This window comes from Homo sapiens, chromosome 3, assembly GCF_000001405.40.
Source record: "Homo sapiens chromosome 3, GRCh38.p14 Primary Assembly".
NCBI classification, from domain to species: Eukaryota; Metazoa; Chordata; class Mammalia; order Primates; family Hominidae; genus Homo; species Homo sapiens.
In genome coordinates this window covers 54058355-54079084 of record NC_000003.12, presented here as the reverse complement: position 1 = coordinate 54079084, position 20730 = coordinate 54058355, and the positions used below count along the sequence as shown (strand labels likewise).

The 20730-nt window shown below is 45.0% G+C and overlaps 1 long non-coding RNA gene across 1 annotated transcript in view; it reads left to right on the top strand.

Annotated features, from left to right (window-relative positions):
• LOC124909381 (uncharacterized) overlaps window positions 1-20730 on the top strand; it is a 65088-nt gene extending 44358 nt beyond the window's left edge. Inside the window, exon 2 of the long non-coding RNA XR_007095914.1 lies at window positions 20529-20730. This is a non-coding gene — a long non-coding RNA (uncharacterized LOC124909381). The remainder of the gene's footprint in view (window positions 1-20528) is intronic.

The window sequence follows — 20730 nt, the reverse complement described above, 5'->3', positions numbered from 1 at the left end:
TGTGAAAGAATATTTTTTAAAATGTTAGTGTGTGCTATGCTCAGATAGCATGAAGTACAAAAGAGACATGCATATGCAAATTAACCTTATTAAAAAGGTTCTCTGAAGACACTTCCTGAATAATGAACATGAATAATGGCGAGAATGGTGGTTATCCAAGCACCAAAACCTGTCTCAGAAACTTCAAACATTTGTTTTCTATATTGTTGACATTATATGAAAGAAAAGGTCACAGGTGAAATGTAAAGAGATTTTACTATTTGAAACCGTATTGCAAGAACAGCCTCCCCCTAGGGTAGGAATATCTAGAAGGGGTTAAATGTCACTAACAGTCTCAAAATTATTGCAGTAGATTTGCAGAAAAAAGAGATATAAAGGGTCTTTTTCATTAAAAATGTTCTTTGATTTTCAGTTGTAGCTTTGGCGGCATTATTGGCAAGGGAGCGATTGTAGAGAACGTGGCTCAGATGGTGGCAGGGGCCAAGTTGAGAAGGCACTTGGGGCAGTTTACACATAAAAGGAGTTTCCCCTCAAAGAGAAAGTGCAGACCAGCCAGCTGAGCTCACAAGAAGTCATTTCATTAATTTCCAGAAAGAAAGGAGATTGAGAAGAATACACTGGAGCACTCTCCCGTGCAAGGAAACCAGCTTCAAAACCATCCACATCAGGACTGCAGACTCCAGTCTGCTCATTCATCCCACACACATTGAGGGATGCTTGTGTGGGTCACAGTCAGGCTGGGCTCAGGGATTACCAGCAGGGGATGAGCCAGAGCCCTGTGCGATCTCAAAGTCTGGAGGGGTCTATGAGGCCACAGGATAAGCCTCACAGACCCTCAACTACAGAAAGAGTAAAGGACTCAGGAAACCCATCCTGGCGTTTGCACTGAGTTCACTCCTTCTGCAGGCAGCACCAGCCAACTCAGTCCAGCAGGAGTATTGTTAATGCAGGCCCATTCCAAGGAAACCCTGGGAGTCTTCTGTTGCTATTGCTGCTGTTGTTTAAAAGGCACGGTCTCCCTGTGTTGCCCAGGCTGGCCTCAAGCGATCCTCCTGTGATGGCCTGTTTTGACTTGAAGTCTCTCCTACGGCATGGGGGTCTAAGGGCTTCCACTCAGCCTTCCTTCCCTCTCCTTCACTGGCATTGTGTTCTGACATGTCTCCTGGTCTACCCCACTTTACTGCCCATGTTTTCTCACTGGTGTTTCCCCTGATAAAATCCCATCTCAACATCTATTTCTTGGAAAACCTGGACCAGCACAGGGCCCCACAATCCAGAAACATGATAGAGAAAGTAAAGAAGAAAACACAAGTGTAAGGAAAGCTTTCAGTGTTCCAAGCACTGTTGAGTGCCCTGCGGCAACCCCCAGAGTTAACGTTCCCCATGCCCTCTAAAGTGGGTTCTGCTGCCATTTCTGTTTGATTCAGGAGAAACAACAAGGTACAGGGAGGGCAAGTTACTGCCCAGTTGGTAAGCAGTGGCACCAAAGTTTGCCTGTATGGTTAGCTAGTACACCTGGCAAAGCCTTCAGGAGCACTGCACAGCCACTGCCTCCTGCAGCTCTGCCATCTCCAATGTGTCCCTGAGGAAACAGGGCACAAGTCCTCACTGACACACAACAAAGAATAACAAGGACACTACTCTTGAGATGCCAGCAGGAGGGGGAGGTTCCCAGCTGCCTAGGCAGGGTGGACAAAGGTAGTGCTTATGCCTGGGGCCAACCCTGAAGCCAAAAGCCAAACCAAAGTCCCCTGATCAAAGAACAACAGATGGAAAGCCCAGGAGGCTCTGGGAATTGATGAGAGACAACAGGCACCATGCACTGTTACTCCTGACTTTCTGGGCTTGCCTGTGCAGTGGATGCTGCCGTGTTTTCACCTGTTTATCCTTCTACTGCTAGTAATTCCTCAGCTTCCCTCTGGCAACTCTCTCGTCTCCCACTGCAGCCCACATGATTTTGGGTGGAGTTCAGTCAACCACTGATCAGGCAAGCCTGGCATCAAATTCTCCTTGGAGGGATGATTGGTGCAGGAACGAGCTTGGGACCCGATCAAGAGATGTGGTGGGACTGGCCAGGCATGGTGGCTCACATCTGTAATCCCGGCACTTTGGGAGGCCAAAGCAGGCAGATCACTTGAGGTCAGGAGTTTGAGACCAGCCTGGCCAACATGGTGAAACCCCATCTCTACTAATAATACAAAAACTAGCCAGGTGTGGCGGCACACGCCTGTAATCGCAGCTACTCAGCAGGCTGATACAGGAGACTCGCTTGAACCCTGGAGGCAAAGGCTGCAGTAAGCCGAGATAGTGCCACTGCAATCCAGCCAGGGTGACAGAGCGAGACTCTGTCTCAAAAAAAAAAACAGAGAGAGGAAGGGAAGTGGGCCCTTCTTTCCCATTGGGCTTGAACCTACCAGGGTGTAGCCGTGGAGCCATGGGCCATCAGTCATCTTCCCTGAGAAGGAAACTAACCCACGTAACAGAACTGAGAATTGGTGACATTGATTGAACCCCTGCATTCAACTGAGCCTGAAATCAGCATGTGTCTGGATTTTTCAGTTACCTATGCATTAGAAACAAATTTTCGGTGTTGCAAAGTTAACCCAGCACTCAGGCAAAAGTTCTTTCAGCAAGGCAATTTACTTTTATAGAAGGGCACTTTCTGTATGCAAGGCAGAGGCAAGAGGGAGCACATAAAACAAAGGAGAGCAGGAGTTTTTTGTCCCTAATGCAGACCCTGTTCCTGTGTCCTCCCCCTGTGGGCTGGGGTAGGACCACACAATCTAGGCTAATTCTGATTGGTTACTATTGACATCGTCAAAGGAGGCGAGGGTGGGTGTTTGACAGGAAGGACAGGTATGGTACATCTTGGGGTGTTTGGGCACAGCAGAGAGAGGGAGGGCTGATAGATGAATGGGTATGATTACCTTTTAGCATAGAACAAAGAACCAGGAACCAAAACCCTTTGGAGAAGAACTGTTTGGTCTTAATAACAATTTCCCCCTCTTGAATTTATACATTTTCTTTTTCAAACTTATCGAACATGATTCGGCTTTGTTGTTCTTCTAGGACAAATAATTTATTAGTATAAGATTGGAAAGAACTGGGGAAGGTTTTGGTAACAGCTGTTTTTATAAGTTTTTGGACTAGTCCACAAATGTAGAGCATGATGCAGCATCTAACAAGAATAAGCACAGCTATTGTGATTGCAAGAGAAGTAACAATAGAGGCCATGAGTCCTTTCTAATTACCAAACCATTTCTCTAACCATCCTGTGAATGGGTTGCTTATCCCAGAATTTGTGGCTAATTCATTTGATAAGGAGGTAAGACCTTGTAAAGCTTTTGTAATTGTTTTATCAGGGGCTGTATTGTTGGGAATGAAGGTACAGCATTGGGTTCCTGTCATAACACAAACTTCACCTTTTTCTGCTAATATCATATCTAGGGCCATTCTGTTTTCCCAAGCCATTTGGCTAGTAGGCCCTAATTGTTCGGCTATTTCTTTAATAGCATCCCTAGTGTAATTAATAAATCACTGCTGGTTATAATAGATGCAATTTATCTAATCTACATTTTTATTAATAGTTACCCATGGAAATAATGATTCGAATCTTGCAGCTATTTGGTCTCGGGCTTTGAATCTATCAGGTACCCCCCTTGGGACTCCAGTTGCATCTATATTGACATGAGAGTTGAAGGATCCACGAGGGGCCTCTCTTGTTTTATGGCATTGTGGTTTCCCTTTTTTTGGTTGATGAAATGCCGTGGTGAAAGGGATGGCCAATTGAGTTAGAGCACAAGTGCCACTCCAGTTACTTGGCAGAGTGTCCAGTAGGGGTCCACCACAATACCACTATACATCAGCTGGGGGATGAACAAGGGCAGACTGATTGGTAAGCTCTTGGAAAGACTTAAGCTCACTGCATCCCTTTAGGTCTCCAAGAAATGCCAAATTTTCTCCCTGTCATGAGAGACACGAAGTAAAATTCACGTCTGGAGATGGAGGCTAGATGGCCCTCAGGGGCTGACCCGCAGAGTGTTGAACTTCAGGGAATAGCAGAGAGAGAATTCGACAGAATTCATTACCCCAAGCTGTGGGGTCTTGGAAAAGAGCCACCATACAGCTCAAGTCTGGTTGGTCAGAAGACCATCCAAGTGAAAAGGGGATGACCTGGGCCTCTGGCCTACTGTGCACACAAGCCTAAGAGTCACTTTTGTTTAGAGTCCATCTAGGCATTTGCAACTTGGTGTCCTGTTTTAATTGCCAGTGTTTGTTTTAAATTTTTAACCTCTACAATAGCTACTTTGGTTTTGTCATTAGGTGGAGAAGAGACAGTGGTCTGGTCAGCAGGTTTAGAAGAGGATAGAGGTGGAGATGTGAGGGATGAGGATGTGATGAAGTGCAACTCAAAAAATCCTACGAGGTCTTTTTCTGTTATATTTGCTCTCATATCATAGAAATGGTTTAGGGTAGGGGAGGAATCTTGAAGAGTCGGGATGGTGATGGAAATTTGCACCGGGTCATATTGGTTATATTGACAATTGAGAGGGGCACTTTTTTTAGTAAAATGGATATAGGGCTTTAGAACTGTTAGTGGGAAATCTTCTGAGGGGACCCAGTCTTGAGTGGTCCAAACGACATATTTTTAAGTATGACAAAACGGGTACCTAAACAATTTACAAGCATTTGCTGTGGAGGGGCAGAAATATTTTTCTGCTGCTGTAAACTGTCGCTGGCTTTGGAGATCTTCACAAGGCATAACTAAACAAGCATCGAAGGTAATGGTCTGGGGTGAGTCTGATCTAGTTACATTAATAACGAAGTGGCTAGTAACAGAACAAGGAAAGAAGAACGAGTAATAGAATAGATGACAGAGAGTTAAACTTCCCTTGGCTTTAGTTTGGTAGGATTTTCCCCTGGGACTATGGCCCATGACGCTGGAGGGCGCAGCACTTTTTTGACTCGGGTGTGATGGGTCCATCCTTTTTTAGTGGTTTGGACTGCAGTTTCAGTTGTTAGGAGCACCAGATGTGGTCCCTGCCAGGACGGTTCAACTTTCTCTTTTTTTTAGCTCTTAATGAGGACGTAGTCTCCAGGCCGGTGCTGATAGACTGGAAACTCAAGAGGCGGAGTTTGCGCTAAGAGACTTTTAGTCCTAAGGGAAGACAAGGTAGAAAACAGACCAGGTATATATAGTTCCTAAGGAATTGATCTTTGGTCTCAAAAGTGGGAATGTCACTAGTGGAACTTAAGTATGGTAACCCGTAGAGCATTTCTTAAGGAGATAGGCCAACGTCTTTTCGAGGGGCAGTTCGGATTCTGAGTAGAGCAATGGGGAGACACTTAGTCCAAGGTGATTGAGTTTTAAAGATTAACTTAGTTAGATGATTTTTTAAAGTCTGATTCATCCTTTCTATTCTTTCTGATGAGGATGGATGCCAGGGGGTATGATACTCCCATTTGATTCCTAAAGCTTGAGTAAGTCCTTTAATGATATTTATAGTAAAATGAGTCCCATTATCTCAGTCAATGTTTTCTACTAGCCCGAACCGAGGTATTATCTTCTCTAGTAATACTTTAACCACATTATTAGCTGTTGCACTGGGGAGAGGAATGGCTTCAACTCAATGAGTGAGGTGGTCTACTACTACTACTAGGTATTCAAGGTAACCTAGTGGGGGTATTTTAGTATAGTCAACTGGAATGCTTTGAAATGGCCTTAATCTTGGGTTTCTCCCCCCAGATTCTTAGGGCCTGTTTATTAGTTTTCTTACATATTAGGCAACTGTCCACAGCTTGTTTTGCTAAGGTATAAGTTCTTATACATCCATAGACTCTGAGAACTGCATCACATATAGCTTAAGGTCCCCAGTGAGTCCCTTGATGTAGTTGGGACAGGATTTCTCTCATAAGTGGTTTGGAAAGCATTTCCCTTTGGTCTGGTAACACCCACTTCCCTTCTGAGTTTTCCTTAGCCCCTAAGTTTCTCTAACTTTTCTTTTTCAGCAGGAGAGAAGATAGGGATTGTAACTGGGAGAGAGAGACAGGGAGTCAGGTGGAAAATAGATGCTTTTTGAGAGATGGCAGCTTGCTTTGCGATTTTATCAGCAAGGTTATTTCCTCGGCTTTCAAAGGTAGAACAGTTTCTTTTTTCTTCCCCCACTCAGGGCATTTTCTTTTGAAGTGGCCTGCTCTTTCACATTTGAAGCACCTATCCTGTGCTTTCTCTCCCTCAGTTCTAGGATTATTTGACCCTGCTCCCCTGTACTCTCTAGAGGGCCTGGTACCTGAGGGTCTGGGTCCCCAGGTCGGAGGCTTGGCTCCTCTAAGCAGGGGTTTGGACCCTTTATAATTCCTGGCCCCCTGAAGCCTCTGTGTAGAAGCCTATGGGCTGGAAGTCATCTGGTGGAAGGTGGATAGCATAAGTTTCGTTTTTTGTTTTTGCTTTTTTTCATCTCTCCTCACATAGAATTTTTGGGCTTCTCCTAGGAGTTTCTCTATGGACAGGTTTTTCCAGTTTTCTAGTTTTTGCAACTGCTTTGTTATGTCTGACCAGCTGTTTGTGACAACATGTAGCTTTAACATTTCTTGCCCGAGAGAGTCTTCTGGATCTAAATCTGCATATTTTTTTGTTTGTTCCCTTGGTCTTTTTAGAAATTTCATGGGGCCTTCATCTTTTTCCTGTTGTACGTCAAATGCTCGGGAAAGATTCTGAGTGTGGGGCACTGACTCCCGAATTCCTTTAATTATCATTTCCCTAAGATCTTTATCTTTGGGGTTTAGATTCCTAGTTAGGAAAGCAGTAGGGTTAAGGGCATTGTCAGTGGTGCATCTTTTTTTGTTTGTTTGTTTGTTTTTGAGACGGAGTCTCGCTTTGTCGCCCAGGCTGGAGTGCAGTGGCGCGATCTCGGCTCACTGCAACCTCCGCCTCCCAGGTTCACGCCATTCTCCTGCCTCAGTCTCCCAAGTAGCTGGGACTACAGGTGCCCGCCACCACACCTGACTAATTTTTTTTTTTTTTTTTTTTTTTTTTAGTAGAGACGGGGTTTCACCGTGTTAGCCAGGATGGTCTCGATCTCCCGACCTCGTGATCTGCCTGCCTTGGCCTCCCAAAGTGCTAGGATTACAGGCGTGAGCCACTGCGCCCAGCAACATCTTTTTTTTTAATAGAATGGTTTCATATCATGTTTTTCCGGTGGACTGCATTGTTATTATCCCATTGAGGATCTTGGACTGGGAATTTCTGGCCTGCTGCCGGAATGTTTTGGCCAGAAGGATGTTCACGTTCCCAAATTGTCATAGCAGCCCTATGATTCATCCCCCTTTCTTCCCCTGAGAAAAGGATACCCAGGAGGGACATTCTCTTCCTTCCTGGGGCACCTCTCTCAAAGGAAAGAGAGTTGGGGCTGATTCCTTAGAGGTAGAGGGGGAAGGAAGATTTTGAGTCCTTTTAGGGAAGGATACTTAGGCTGACCCATGGGGTGGTGGTAAGTGTGAAATCTGATCCTTCCCCTGCATTTTTTAGGGGAAAGAAGATAACAGGTCTTTTTTCTCCAGCAGAGAGCATAGTCTATTTCTTTCTGTGAGACCAGACTTTTGTCATTCACATGCTGAATTAAAAGATGACAGACCCAATCCTCATCTCATCCATATTTTGGCCAGAAGACATCAGGTTTGAGGATGGGTTTCTTGGCCCAAATAAAACTATATTCTATCATCTGTTGCTTTTTTTGGTGTCTGGTCGTCTCATTTTCCTTCTAATAATTTTAGCATGAGACCTAAAGGACTATCGGAGGGGATCTGACTATCCCTATCCTTACCTTTCCCTGTTGTACTAGGAGTGTTTCCCATCTTGGAGGTTTTGGATGCTCCCTTGAGTGTGTGTGTGTGTGGCCTAACCTCTCTTATTAAAGCCTTCCCTTTTATCTAGAGGCTCAAACCCCCTTACTGGAGTTTTCTTGCACTCCTTTCCATTTGCTTTGTCCTATCTGGCTGCTTCCCTCATGGGAAATTAGGTCCCTTTTAGCATTGGCATGCCAGTATAAGCCCCATGGCAGGATCCGTTCTAAGACATATGAGTTGACCACAGAACCACATAAAGGACCCACTCACTCCACACAGCAGTAGTGCTTATCACTATTCACACAAGCAGCACCGCAAGCAGTAGTGCTTGTGATTATTCACACACACTTTCAACATCCAAGATATCCTGACCACCAAGGAAATACTTCGCTGCCCCCATGGCTTTTCTTACTTTGGTCTGTGCACAAAGTTACCTGGTCGCCATTGTGTTTGTAGGCAAGCCTTTCCTTCCAACATTGCTGAGAGTCTGGGTTTATTTGTCATAGTCGGTGGGGTCTCGATCTCTAGCCCCTGAGGCCACCACAGTGACGCAGTGGGATGCATCTCCCCCTGGGAGATGACCAGAGACCCCTTCCCCGGAGGAGAATGGGACTCCTGGACGAGCCCCCAGATTGTTAGAAACCAATTTTCAGTGCCGCAAAGTGAACCCAGCACTCAGGCAAAAGTTCTTTCAGCAAGGCAATTTACTTCTACAGAAAGGCGCTTCCTGTATGCAAGACAGAGGCAAGGGAGACCGCGCAAAACAAAGGAGAGCAGGAGTTTTTTATCCCTGAAGCAGACCCTGTTCCTGTGCCCTCACCCTGAGTGTTGGGGTCGGACCACACAATCTAGGCTAATTCCGATTAGCTACTGTTGACATCATCAAAGGAGGCGAGGGTGGATGTTTGATGGGAAGGATAGGTAAGGTACATCTTGGGGCGTCTGAGCACAGCAGAGAGAGGGAGGGCTGATAGATGAATGGGTATGATTTCCTTTTAGAATAGAACAAAGAACCAGGAACTGAAACCCTTTGAAGAGGAACTATTTGTTCTTAATAACATAAGTAAGGCAGTAACAGCCCATTTATGCTTCAGGCAGGTTCAGAAGGGTTTGCTGTAACTTGCAATGGAAAGCCTTTTACCTGTCTAAGCCTGCCCTCTCACACTTTATCTCTGCTTCAAACTTTCCTGCTGCACAGAACTCCTACAGCTCCCTTTTTGTCCTCCTGTAGTCCTGCATGTTTGACTGCAGGTAACCAGAGTCAGGACCAGCTTCAGCTCTAGAACCTGCCTGCTGACCACCTTCCAGGAACTGGGAGCACTGGAGGCATTGGCCATCCCGCCAAAGGGCTCAGATTCAGCACCAAGCCCAGAGGTTCCTACCAGGACCACTTGCAGGGGTTCCCCTGCTGAGGAGTGGTCTCCTTCTGTAGAAATCCCCCTTAGTACTGGGTTTGAGAAATGCAAACCTAAGGCTAGAATAGCAGGCTGTATGCAGGGCCTCAAGATTGTGAGCTTGTCACCATTGAGGGGCACTTCAGAGCAATGACCATATGCCTGACACGGGGCTGAGCCCTTATCCTCACAAACACCTCAGGATGTTGGTGCCATTATTACCCCATTTTATAAAAGAAGACATGACACTTAGAAGGAAGATTTGTGGACTTTTCTTGTCCTTTTCCCAATCCATTAAAACTGTCTGTGAACACTGTTACTTTTCTCACCTTTAAAAAAATAGGTAGAAAGTTAAACATTGCATGTTCTCACTCATATAAGAAAGCAAAAAACTTGATCTCATAGAAGTAAAAAGTAGAAGCTCGGACATGATGGCTTATGCCTGTAATCCCAGCACTTTGGGAGACTGAGGCGAGTTTGAGACCAGCCTGGCCAACATAGCGAAACCCTGTCTCTACTAAAAATACAAAAAAAAAAAAAAAAATTAGGTGGGCAAGGTGGTGGGTGCCTGTAATCCCAGCTACTCAGGAGACTGAGGCAGGACAATTGCTTGACCCAGGAGGCAGAGGTCGCAAAAAAAAAGAAGTAAAAAGTAGAGCCAAGGGTACTAGAGGCTGGGAAGAGAGGAGACTTGGGGAGAGATTTGTTAAAGGATACAAAATGACAGCTAGATAGAAGGGTAAATTCTAGTGCTCTATACACTATAGGATGACTGGTTAACAATATTATATACTAATAGTTTCAAACAGCTAGAAGGAGGATATTGAATGTTCCCAACACAAAGGAAGATGCATGTTTGAGATGATGAATGTTTGAGATGATGCATGATGATGCATGTTTGAGATGATGAATGCTAATGACCCTGATCTGATCACCATACATTATATGTACGAAAACATCACTGTGTACCCCATGAATAGGTATAATTATTATTTGTCATTTAAAAAGGTACTGACTTTTTAAATTAAAATTTTTAAAACAGGTGATACAGACACTTTATCTAAAAATTTCAAGCTGGGTGTGGTGGCTCATGCCTGTAATCCCAGCACTTTGAGAGGCCAAGCTGGGAAGATCACTTGAGCCCAGGAGTCCGAGAGCAGCCCTGGCAACATAGAGAGACCTGTCCCTAAGAAAAAATTTTAAAAAATTATCTGGATATGGTGGTGCATGCCTGTAGTCTCAGCTACTCAGGAGGCTGAGGTGGGAGGATCACTTGTGCCAGGGAGGTCAAGCCTGCAGTGAGCTATGAATGTGCCATTGCATTCCATCCTGAGCTATAGAGTGAGATCCTGTCTGCAAAGAATAATAATAATAATAAAATAAATAAAATAAAATTTCAAGCAGTATAACAAAGCTTAGAGAGAAATGTCTCTCTCCCATTCCTGTCCTGGAGCTCCAGGATTTATTGAGTGTTTGCTAGATGCCAGGCCCTGTGCTAAACTTTTTACATTCTTCATGTAATTCTCAAAGGGACTCTATGTGACAAGTGTTATCGTTATTAGCCCCTGTTTAAGATGATGGAATTTAGGCAGAGTGAGACATTAAAGACAGAGCTGGGATGCCAGCTCCACTGTCAGGCCCCAAAGCCTATGCCCTTGATGTCACCTGCACACTGGAGCCCCTCCCATTTGGGCCAGGACTTTTGTATCACAGATCGTTTCCAAAAGGCACTCTCAAGCCTCAAGGTCACTTGAGGGTTTATTTCAGAAATAAAAGCAAATTGTTTCCCACTGCATCAGGAAGATCCCTGTGTATCTCATGTCATTCCCAGCTCTTTAGTCCAAGCCATGTCTGCCTCTTTCCCCGACCCAGCTCAGGGCCATGGACCAGCAGCAGCATTCTGAGGCTCCCCTTGTTCATTCCTCGTGAGATACAAGGGTCTGCAATGACAACCGGCATCTTATTTTAAGGCTGCTGGGCACTTTGCTCTCTCTACCCACTCTGCAGTACAGATATGCATCTGGGAGATTGGAATAGGCCAGCTCCTTAACATCCCCCATGACATGGGGTATAATTCCATCCCCTCCCTCTGGGCAGAGGGGGCCAGGAGGTGGAATCCTGCCACCCCTCCACTTCACAGTTGGTGGCGCAGAGAAGGGACCTGGGCACTGTCTTCTCAGTGAGGTGAAAAGAAGCATGGAATTGCTTCCCCACAAAGCCCAGTTTGGTCCATGTGCCACCTGCACTTAGCAGCAAGTGGCCCGGGCACTGAAGACTTCTCTAGGCTCTGCCTAGACAGTGCCACAGGCAAGTGAGAAGAGAGGGAGGAAGGAGTATCCTGGCTGTTCTGTATTCATTACATTGTAGAGTCAAATGAGAATCCAGTGATGATAATAGGCCTGTGGGTGGTGGATCAAGAGTATCTGCCTCCTTAAGGAACAGCCTGGGAAACCTTTGCTGTGAGGAAATTATATTAATAAATGGGTGACAAATACAGAACAGTTTCCAGCCTTTAGCCGTGCTGACTTGCTGGTGGAATTGAGCAAGGCATGCTGTTCTCCAAAACGCACATTCAGGAAGCTCGGCTTCCCCCAGTGCCTAAGGGCAGGGTTGTGCTGGTAAATGTGTAATCACCAGCTTTCAGAGGGAAGGGAAGGCCGTGGTTTGTAACATTCGCCGATTTCTGAGATGTAAATACTCCTACCATGCCTGATTCAGAGCTATCTACATGAAGTCACTAAAGCTTCTAGCACAGCATTATATACACAAAATAGATGTAAATAATCCCCAAAGCATAGAGAAGAGTAAAATGTAAAAAATAACTAGGAGGAGATGAGTTTCAAGTATTTACTCCCTTTGGATGTGAAGGTGATCTGGCTGTGACATGTGTCACCTCATTGATCACCAGGGTTGATTCAGCTGACCTTGCTTGCAAGGCGGGTGTCCCTTTCTTCCCTCACCACTCAATGTCCTTCCCGAAGCTGCTAGAACCTCCAAACAAGCTCTCAAGTATTCACTACCTTTGTTTTTAATATAATTTACTTAATTGCAGGCATATATATATATAATTTAATGTGTAGTAATGGCTGTTCTTAACAACCACCTCACAGAATTCTCCAGAATCTCACAATTAATACCTGTGAGCCAGTGTGAGCCAGTCTGGCTCATCACTAACTGGTCAGGAAAGGCTATTGTATTTGAGTTGTTACAATTTTTAAAAGAGTCAGACATGGATTATCCTGGTGATGGGAGTTGAGCATAATGATGTGCTAGGAAGTGAGGGTGCCCCAGACACTACCTCATCAGCTACAGGCTTGTTGGGGTTTCTAGCGCCATCAGGCCTGGTGTAGGATTGCAGCAATCAGCCTGGCATGGTTGTGCGGACAACCTGAGCTCTCATAGCCCAGCTCTGAACCTCTGACATCAAAGGTCACCCCTGTTGGAAAGCTGTGCACCAAGACACCTCAGGGATGAGCTGGCCTCCCGCAGGAGCAGCCTGCATCAGATGCTCACAGATCAGGCCCCAGTCACTGGTCCAATAGATCATGCCTGGAATCACAGTGGGGGGGTCCCCAAGTACACACACAGCCTGAGTGCTAACAATTGGAAGCAGAGAGAGCCTCTTGGGGCCCCTTTCCTCAGAACGTGCTGTGCGCATGGCAGGCCCTTGGAGCATCACAAATCCTTTCTGCAGTGAGGCTCCTTCATTTCATCTCCCTTGGGAAGAGCTATGGGGCCACTGAAGGATTCTGGTTTGTCTGCTTTCAGAACTAAGTCCTTCTTTATTGCTGAGTAAATTGCAAGCCAGTTGCTGCTAGACAGACTACACCTTGAAGCTCAAGATGCATGGAAGTGAATATGCTGTTTCGTCTCCATATTCATTATATGAATAGTAGTGACTGTTTCCAGTCACTATGCTGCTGTGTTTAGGAAAGAAATGTACCATCTTTCAAGTAGAAAGCTGAAGCTGCTACTTCTCATGCTGTCACTGCTGCTTGGAATGTTGCCCTCTCCGTCTCTCCTTTCCCTGCTTGCCTCCACAGACTCCTATTCTCTTTCAGGGTACTTTGCTAAAGTTGAAAAACAAGTGACAACATGCTATGCAAACCAAGATTTCGATATTGGACATGTACTCACACATACCAGGCATAGGACGAGAAGAACATACATGCACCAAAGTGGGATTTTTTTCTATGCACTTTTCTACATTTTGCATATTTCTTCCACTGAACATATATTAATTTTATGAACATGGAAGAGAGCACCCCTCATTTCCTCCATGAAGGCTTCTCCCACCCCCACAGCCAGCAAATCAGTCCATCTTCTGACCTCTAACTTGTGCATGCACCCCAGTAGGTTGTAATTGGCTTTGTATTTCTTCCTATTTTCTCACTAGACATGAGTCGTCGCTCAAAGGGGTTTGGCTTGTCCTCTCCCAGGCACACTCACCCTCAGCTTCTGACCCCACGCCTGGGACAAACAGGCCCTCAGTGAATGATTTATGAAACTAAACTAGGTCACTGCAAAGCCCAACCTGAAGACTGCTTCAACCTGAATGGAAGGAAATGGTAAACTCTCACCTTCCAGGAATATCCCTGCTGGAATATAAATTACACAATCCTGTCATGGACAGACCTCATTAATTTCAACCATTTCGTCTGTTCAACCATTGTAGAGATGAGAAAACTGAGGCCTAGAGAGGTCTAGGGATTTTCCCAAATCACACATCAAGTAAGCGGTGGAGCCAAAGAGGAATCCAGGTTCTTCAAGTCTTAATATTTTCCCTCTCACCAGGTAAGAGTACAACAGAGAAAGTATAAGGTGCCAAAGAATGATAGTAAGAGTTAGCATTTACTGAATTGAGAACTTTCAGTGTGCCAACCCCTTTTCTAGGCCTTTCTTGCATATTACCTCATTTAAGCTATTTAACATGTACTGTCATCATTCTCATTTTACTAGTGGCAAAACTGAGGTTCAGAGAGGTTGGGTAACTCTTTCAAGGTTGCAAGGCTAGTCCAGCCTCAATAATCCCTAGCCCAAGTCCCTGTGCTATTAGCGGCTAATGAAACCCAAGGGCCAGAGCTGAGCAACGTGGAAGTTCTGCCTGCAAGGACCGCACCGGGCCTCGAGGCTATGTTAGGATTAGGCTGATAACAATCAGATCCAGGGATAGTTGGAGAGCAAAAGGCTGTGGCACCAAAACAGATGGGTCAGAATCACATGTTTGTCTGACAGAAAAAAGGCTGAGGGGAGCCAATTAAAGCTCAGCCACATCTCACACGCCTTTCTTCTTGGTGTCTGTCTCTGTTTCGTTATTTTGCTTACCTTTCCTTACAGCTTCTTCGTTGGCTTCTCTCCTCCTCTCCCACTAATGCCACAGCAGGTCCTGAGATCTGCTGGACTCTTCTTGCTTCTGTGCTAGGACAGTGGCCTCTTGTATAGTGTACCTTCCTAGGGATGAGGCTCTTCTGCCCTTCCATCTCTCACTTCTTTGCTTAGCCACAATTCCTTTGTTCTTTTTCTGCTTCTGACTTAAATCCTCATCTGAGGATGCATTACATCACCCCTCGGTATATCCAAGCTCAACCTCTTTGATGGCACCTCCCAAGCCCTTCTCTCTTTTGCTAAAATGACCCTCTGTTTTTATCTGTATCACTGGGAGTTCAGGATTCCAACAGCCCTTCTCCTCTTGCCTTCAAATCCTTACCATTTAGGAATCTTTGTGATTTGATACGATGGTCAAAACAGAAGCATGTCTAATCTTCCATATACTAAAGTTACTCCAATTTTACTAAAGTTTTAAGAGGGAGAACTATCCCCAGAGATATTTCTTAGCGCACACACACACACACACACACACACACACACACACAAACACTTTTCTGTAATTAGGAACTTGTTCAGATCTTGTGTCCTGGATAGAGCAGTCCCTACCCAATGAGGCAGCATGGTGGACTGGCCATCTGACAGACCTGGTTCAAGACCTGGTTCTGCTGCTTTCCAGGTGTGTGACCTTAAAAAAAAGAAACAGCTTCTCTGTGCTGTAATTTCCTTGTCTATGCAGTGGGGACAATCATGGCTACTCTCTATTTGAGGACTTGAGACAATGCCTGGTACACACACAGTGGGTACTTAAGAAGAGCTGCTCTTGGAATATTCTTTTTTTTTTTTTTGAGATGGAGTCTCTCTCTGTCGCCAGGCTGGAGTGCAGTGGTGCGATCTTGGCTCACTGCAACCTCCATCTCCTGGGTTCAAGTGATTCTGCTACCTCAACCTCCCAAGTAGCTGGGACTACAGGCACGTGCCACCATGCCCAGCTAATTTTTGTATTTTTAGTAGAGACAGGGTTTCACCATGTTGGCCAGGATGGTCTCAGTCTCTTGACCTTGTGATCCGCCTGCCTTGGCCTCCCAAAGTGCTGGGATTACAGGCGTGAGCCACCACGCCTGGCCTAGTCAACCAGAGGCTTATGCTGAGGGTACTGTTTTGTGTTTATAGAGCATCTTCAATTCTACTATCTAAAGTAGGCCCGTAAGAGTTCAGTTGTAAAATATAGAATATACTCTAACAACTTTAAGCAGAAGGGGCTTATTTCAGAGTAATAGATAGGTAGCTTCCAGAATTATCAGAGACTTGAAGAAAATGACTCTACCTTAAGTTTTCTAGAATGGCAGAAATGGACCACCAAAGACTGCTGCTTCTCCTATGACAAGGAAGCACTGCCTGATCTGGAAACTTGCATTATAACTGTTGACCTCAAAGCCATGCAACCACTACCATGATCAGAGAGTCACCACGGTCAGAAAGTCTCCAGGACTGCTGCCAACTGTGAGACCTCACTGCCATTATTCTCTATTTAACGCATTCCAGTCAGAGTGAATTCCATTGAATCCACTCTTGTCAAAGTCACCAGTGATCTCCCCCTTAATAAATCCGAAGATCCATTAGCTCCACTCATCCGACCTGTTCTAGACATGGAATGCCTACCCCTACCCCATCCCAAACAGTAACTTTCCTGCGCTGGAGGATGCTGCCCTCACTGCCTAACCTCAGGAATGCCATTTTCTCCTAAAGACATTTCAGAATTAATGGACTATTCCAGCCCATTGAGTCACATACACTCACACTCACAAGCTCCAGTGGACTCCAGTCCCTTCAGGAATCCCCTGTAGTAGGGATGGAGAGAGAGGAGAAAAGTAAGTTCACACTCTCTGGGGGCCTTCCTACCAGAGGCACATTACCAAGACAAATGTCCCTTTTTTGGCACAGCCACAAAACTATGGATTTTAGAGAGTGGAAACTTCAGCAGCTTCCAGGACTAGAAGCCTAAGGACCATCCAATCTAGCTCTTTCATCTTGCAGAGAAGGCACATAAGGCTCTAAAGTGTATCCAGAGTCATAGAGACAAGGCAAGGCAACACTGCTTCAATGGGAAGGATTCCTTCAGCAAATCAGACAACATACCAGAAATTAACTTGGCATAGTGTTTATCTTCGGTCAGGCTCCCTAGAAGTAGAGCAGGAGAGGGGATTTGTCACTTACTAAGGGAGTGATCTCAGGGGAAATGGCATGGGGGGGGAAAGTAGGCTAGGGAAAAAGAAATTAGGCAAGGATGTAGTTTAGGTGACATGTGGCCACAGTGTGATCCTGCAGGGAGCTCTAGAACCACACTGTATCACAGAACTTGAGCCACCTTAAACAAGGGAGCTGGGCTTTTTTGCTTCTGCACCATCTGTTTATTAGCTTTGTGCTGCTCCAGGATAGAGGTTGACTGTTACCCCTAGGCACTTCCAGGTAAAGTTGCTCTAATCTCTGAAGGGCAACAGAAAAGGTTTCAGGTGTGAGCTATTAACAGCAACACCTCTAGCAGTTGGGGGATGGGCACACTGAATGGTAAAAGGGGTCCTTCCTAGATCTGCTATCTAGGTGGGGCACCAGCAGTGTCTGCTACAGTGGCTAAGAGAAATCTCTGGATCCTAACATAACAACTGGGAATCCATATCAGCTGTGTGACCTTGGACAAGTCACTTAATCTCTCTAAGCTTCAGTTCCCAAATCTGAAAATCATGAAAGTACAGCCGGGCACAGTGGTTCACGGCTGTAATCCCAGTACTTTGGGAGGCTGAAGTGGGCGGATCACTTGAGGTCAGGAGTTCAAGACCAGCCTGGCCAACATGGTGAAACCCCATCTCTACTAAAAATACAAAAATTAGCCGGGCATGGTGGCACAGACTCCTGTAATCCCAGCCACTCGGGAGGCTGAGGCAGGAGAATTGCTCGAACCCAGGAGGTGGAGGTTACAATGAGCCAAGATCGCGCCATTGCACTCCAACCTGGGTGACAGAGTGAGACTCCGTCTCAGAAAAAACCACAAAAAAACAAAAAGAAAATCATGAAAGTAATACTGCCTCTTAGGGTCATTGTGGGCATCCAGTGAGCTAATGCATGGGAGGTGCTTAGCCCAATGACTGCATTCAGTAAGTATTATTGTAATTATTAGTGGTTATTATGAATAATTATATTACTTTATTATTATAAGTAATTATAATGATGATAAAAATTGATGATCCAAAAACTGGAGCTATCTGAAATCATTATCCATCTCTTACTATCCAAAGGAACTGGATGCGCATTGTCCACATCTTGACAGCCGAAATTAGGATCATCCAAGAAGTGGCAGTATTTTTATCCACAATGTGGATGTAAGTGTTTGCCTTTGGTGCTCCCAGCTCACCACTGAGATAATTAACCAGAAGCAATTATAGTGCACTTGGCAAATTGCAGCTTTGCCCTCTTTGCAAGGCACATGTTTTAGTTATACTTGCTCCCTTGTGGCTTGCTGATTGATCACATTCCAAGTCTAATATTTAAAGGTGAGCTGCTGACATGGACTTCACCTGGGTTCCCCTCAGAGTTCTCACACTCTGGGGTCTAAGCAAGAAACTTGCCCACGAATGCAGCCATCTCTCTGACAATCTGCATGTCTGGGCAGATCACAATGCCCACATCCCTGGCACACCTGCAGAGTGCCCCTTATCGTGGGTGAGCCAGTGCAGTGCCCTGAGCTGAACACCTCATCTCCTCTGCCTAGTCTTCTCCAATTTCAGAATCGCGATAAGCCAACACATTTTTCAAATACTGAATGCACAGAAGGCTTTTGAGGCTGGACGTTAAAAGTGGACATCCCAGTAATTCTATTTCTGGAAATCTGTCCAGAGGACATAACCTGGAATGAGGATTTATGCTGAAATTTATGTGTGAGATGGTCACCTAAGCATTATTCATAGTAGCAAGAGGTGGGGAGAATGAAATGTCAATTTCAGGTTAGACAGAGCATGCTCAGACAATGAGATAGTAGGCAGACATTAACATAATATAAACAAAGACTGTTTTCTACATCCTTAGACTTAAGGGTATAGGAAAATGTATACCTATTGTAAATGACGAGTTAACGGGTGCAGCACACCAACATGGCACATGTATACATACGTAACAAACCTGCACATTGTGCACATGTACCCTAGAACTTAAAGTATAATAATAATAATAAAAAGAAATCCAAAAGAAAAAAAAATACTAACCAATGGTTTTTCTGTACAAAATTGATCTTCTCTATATTCCCCCTCCATGACCATTTGTATTAGTATCTTTTTTTTTTTTTTTTTTTGAGACGGAGTCTTATCACACAGGCTGGAGTGCAGTGGCACAATCAGCTCACTGCAACCTCTGCCTCCCGGGTTCAAGTGATTCTCCTGCCTCAGTCTCCCAAGTATCTGGGATTACAGGCACGTGCCACCACATCTGGCTAATTTTTGCATTTTTAGTAGAGATGAGGTTTCACCATGTTGGCCAGGCTGGTCTCGAACTCCTTACCTTAAGTGATCTGCCTACCTCGGCCTCCCAAAGTGCTGGGATTACAGGCGTGAGCCACTGTGCCTGGCCTGTATTAATATCTTTATAGGTAGAAGTTTAATATCAATTCTGCAAAGCCTCATGAGTTATTAGCATTTTAACAATATTCTTCAATAAATCTTCAAAATGTGGAAGGTTTAAAATATATAAACTATTTGATTTCTTAACAGAATGTCTATATTTTCTCATTAAATGAAACAAAAATATTACCCAGGAGAAACTTCACACCTTGACTATATTCTCATTTCTCTCATAATTCGCATCCAAAATTATCCCTTTCTCACTGAGAAAAAGGGGATTCACCTTCTTAAGGTGACAAAATAAGAAAAGGAGGGGGGCACCAGGCTATTATTTGCCCCTATAAACAAGCAATCAATCCCATGAGATCTGGCACAATAGGGTGGTAAGTTACCACCTAACCACATGGTATGGCAAACTTACAATTACCACATACTCGTCTCCCCTGGTCTCCACATTCTCAGGGCCTCCCTAATAGAGTCAGCTTTGAAATGCCATCCCTGTTCCCCTATAGGATAATACTCGAAATAAACAAGGGTAAATACTAAATTTAGATTTTGAACATTAAATTTCATCTTTTTATGCTGGCGGCTAACTTCTGCTTAAAATTAATTTCAGTCATATTTTATTCACAAGTTATGTGTTGTGCACCTTACATATTTCAGGCACTGTGTTAGGCACAGGAAATAAAATGGTGAGGTAATTTCCACCCTAAGGGAGGCTAGAATTAGCGGAAAACAAAGAAACCTTAGTCAAGAAAGACGCAATTAAGTAAGGACTGAACACTACCAAGTGCCAGAAAGGAAGAGGAATAAGAGATTTGACCTCATCAGGGGACAGGGGAGCTCAGCTAACATTTGAAGGATGGGTAGGAATTAACTAGGAAATGAGAGGAGAGGAGGCAAGAGCATCCCAGGAAGAGGGAGCAGCATGGACAAGAGGGCCTGAGGTTGAGAACATAACCTGTAGAAGCTGGAGCCAAAGAGGTGGGGGACCACAGTGCAAGGTGAGACTGGAGAAGTGGAGAGGGTAGGCAGGAGAGACATTGTAAGGGGCCCTTTTGCTGGATGATGTTGGATACCCATTCAGCATCACATCCATTCCCACCAAAAGAATTCCAACTTTGTGGAGGTAGTCAGCCCTTCCCCATACAGCTTTGTGATGCAGGAAAAGATGGCACCATCCTCAGCTCCAGGGAGGGTTCCAATAGATTGAGGCCAGTCCTTCTGGATCCCAGGTTTAAGCACTGCACAAGACAACTGCTAATGGTGCCCAGGCAGGAATGTAACCTAAACTGGACCAATGGGACCCCCAAGTGACAGGAGGACTTTCATGCTGTACTTTTCTGTTTCCCTCTAGGCATCCATAAGGAAGCCCATTGACCTAATTGCTGCCATCAACCCAGGGACAAAGCCAATCGGGTGGACAGCGGAGAGGCAATATGGGAAGGACCTTGGTCCTTGAAGATATTGTGCCACTATATCAAGCAACCGCTGAAGCCTGAATTACCTCTGGATGCCTAATAACGTGGAACAATAAATTTCCTTATTGTTTAATTTGA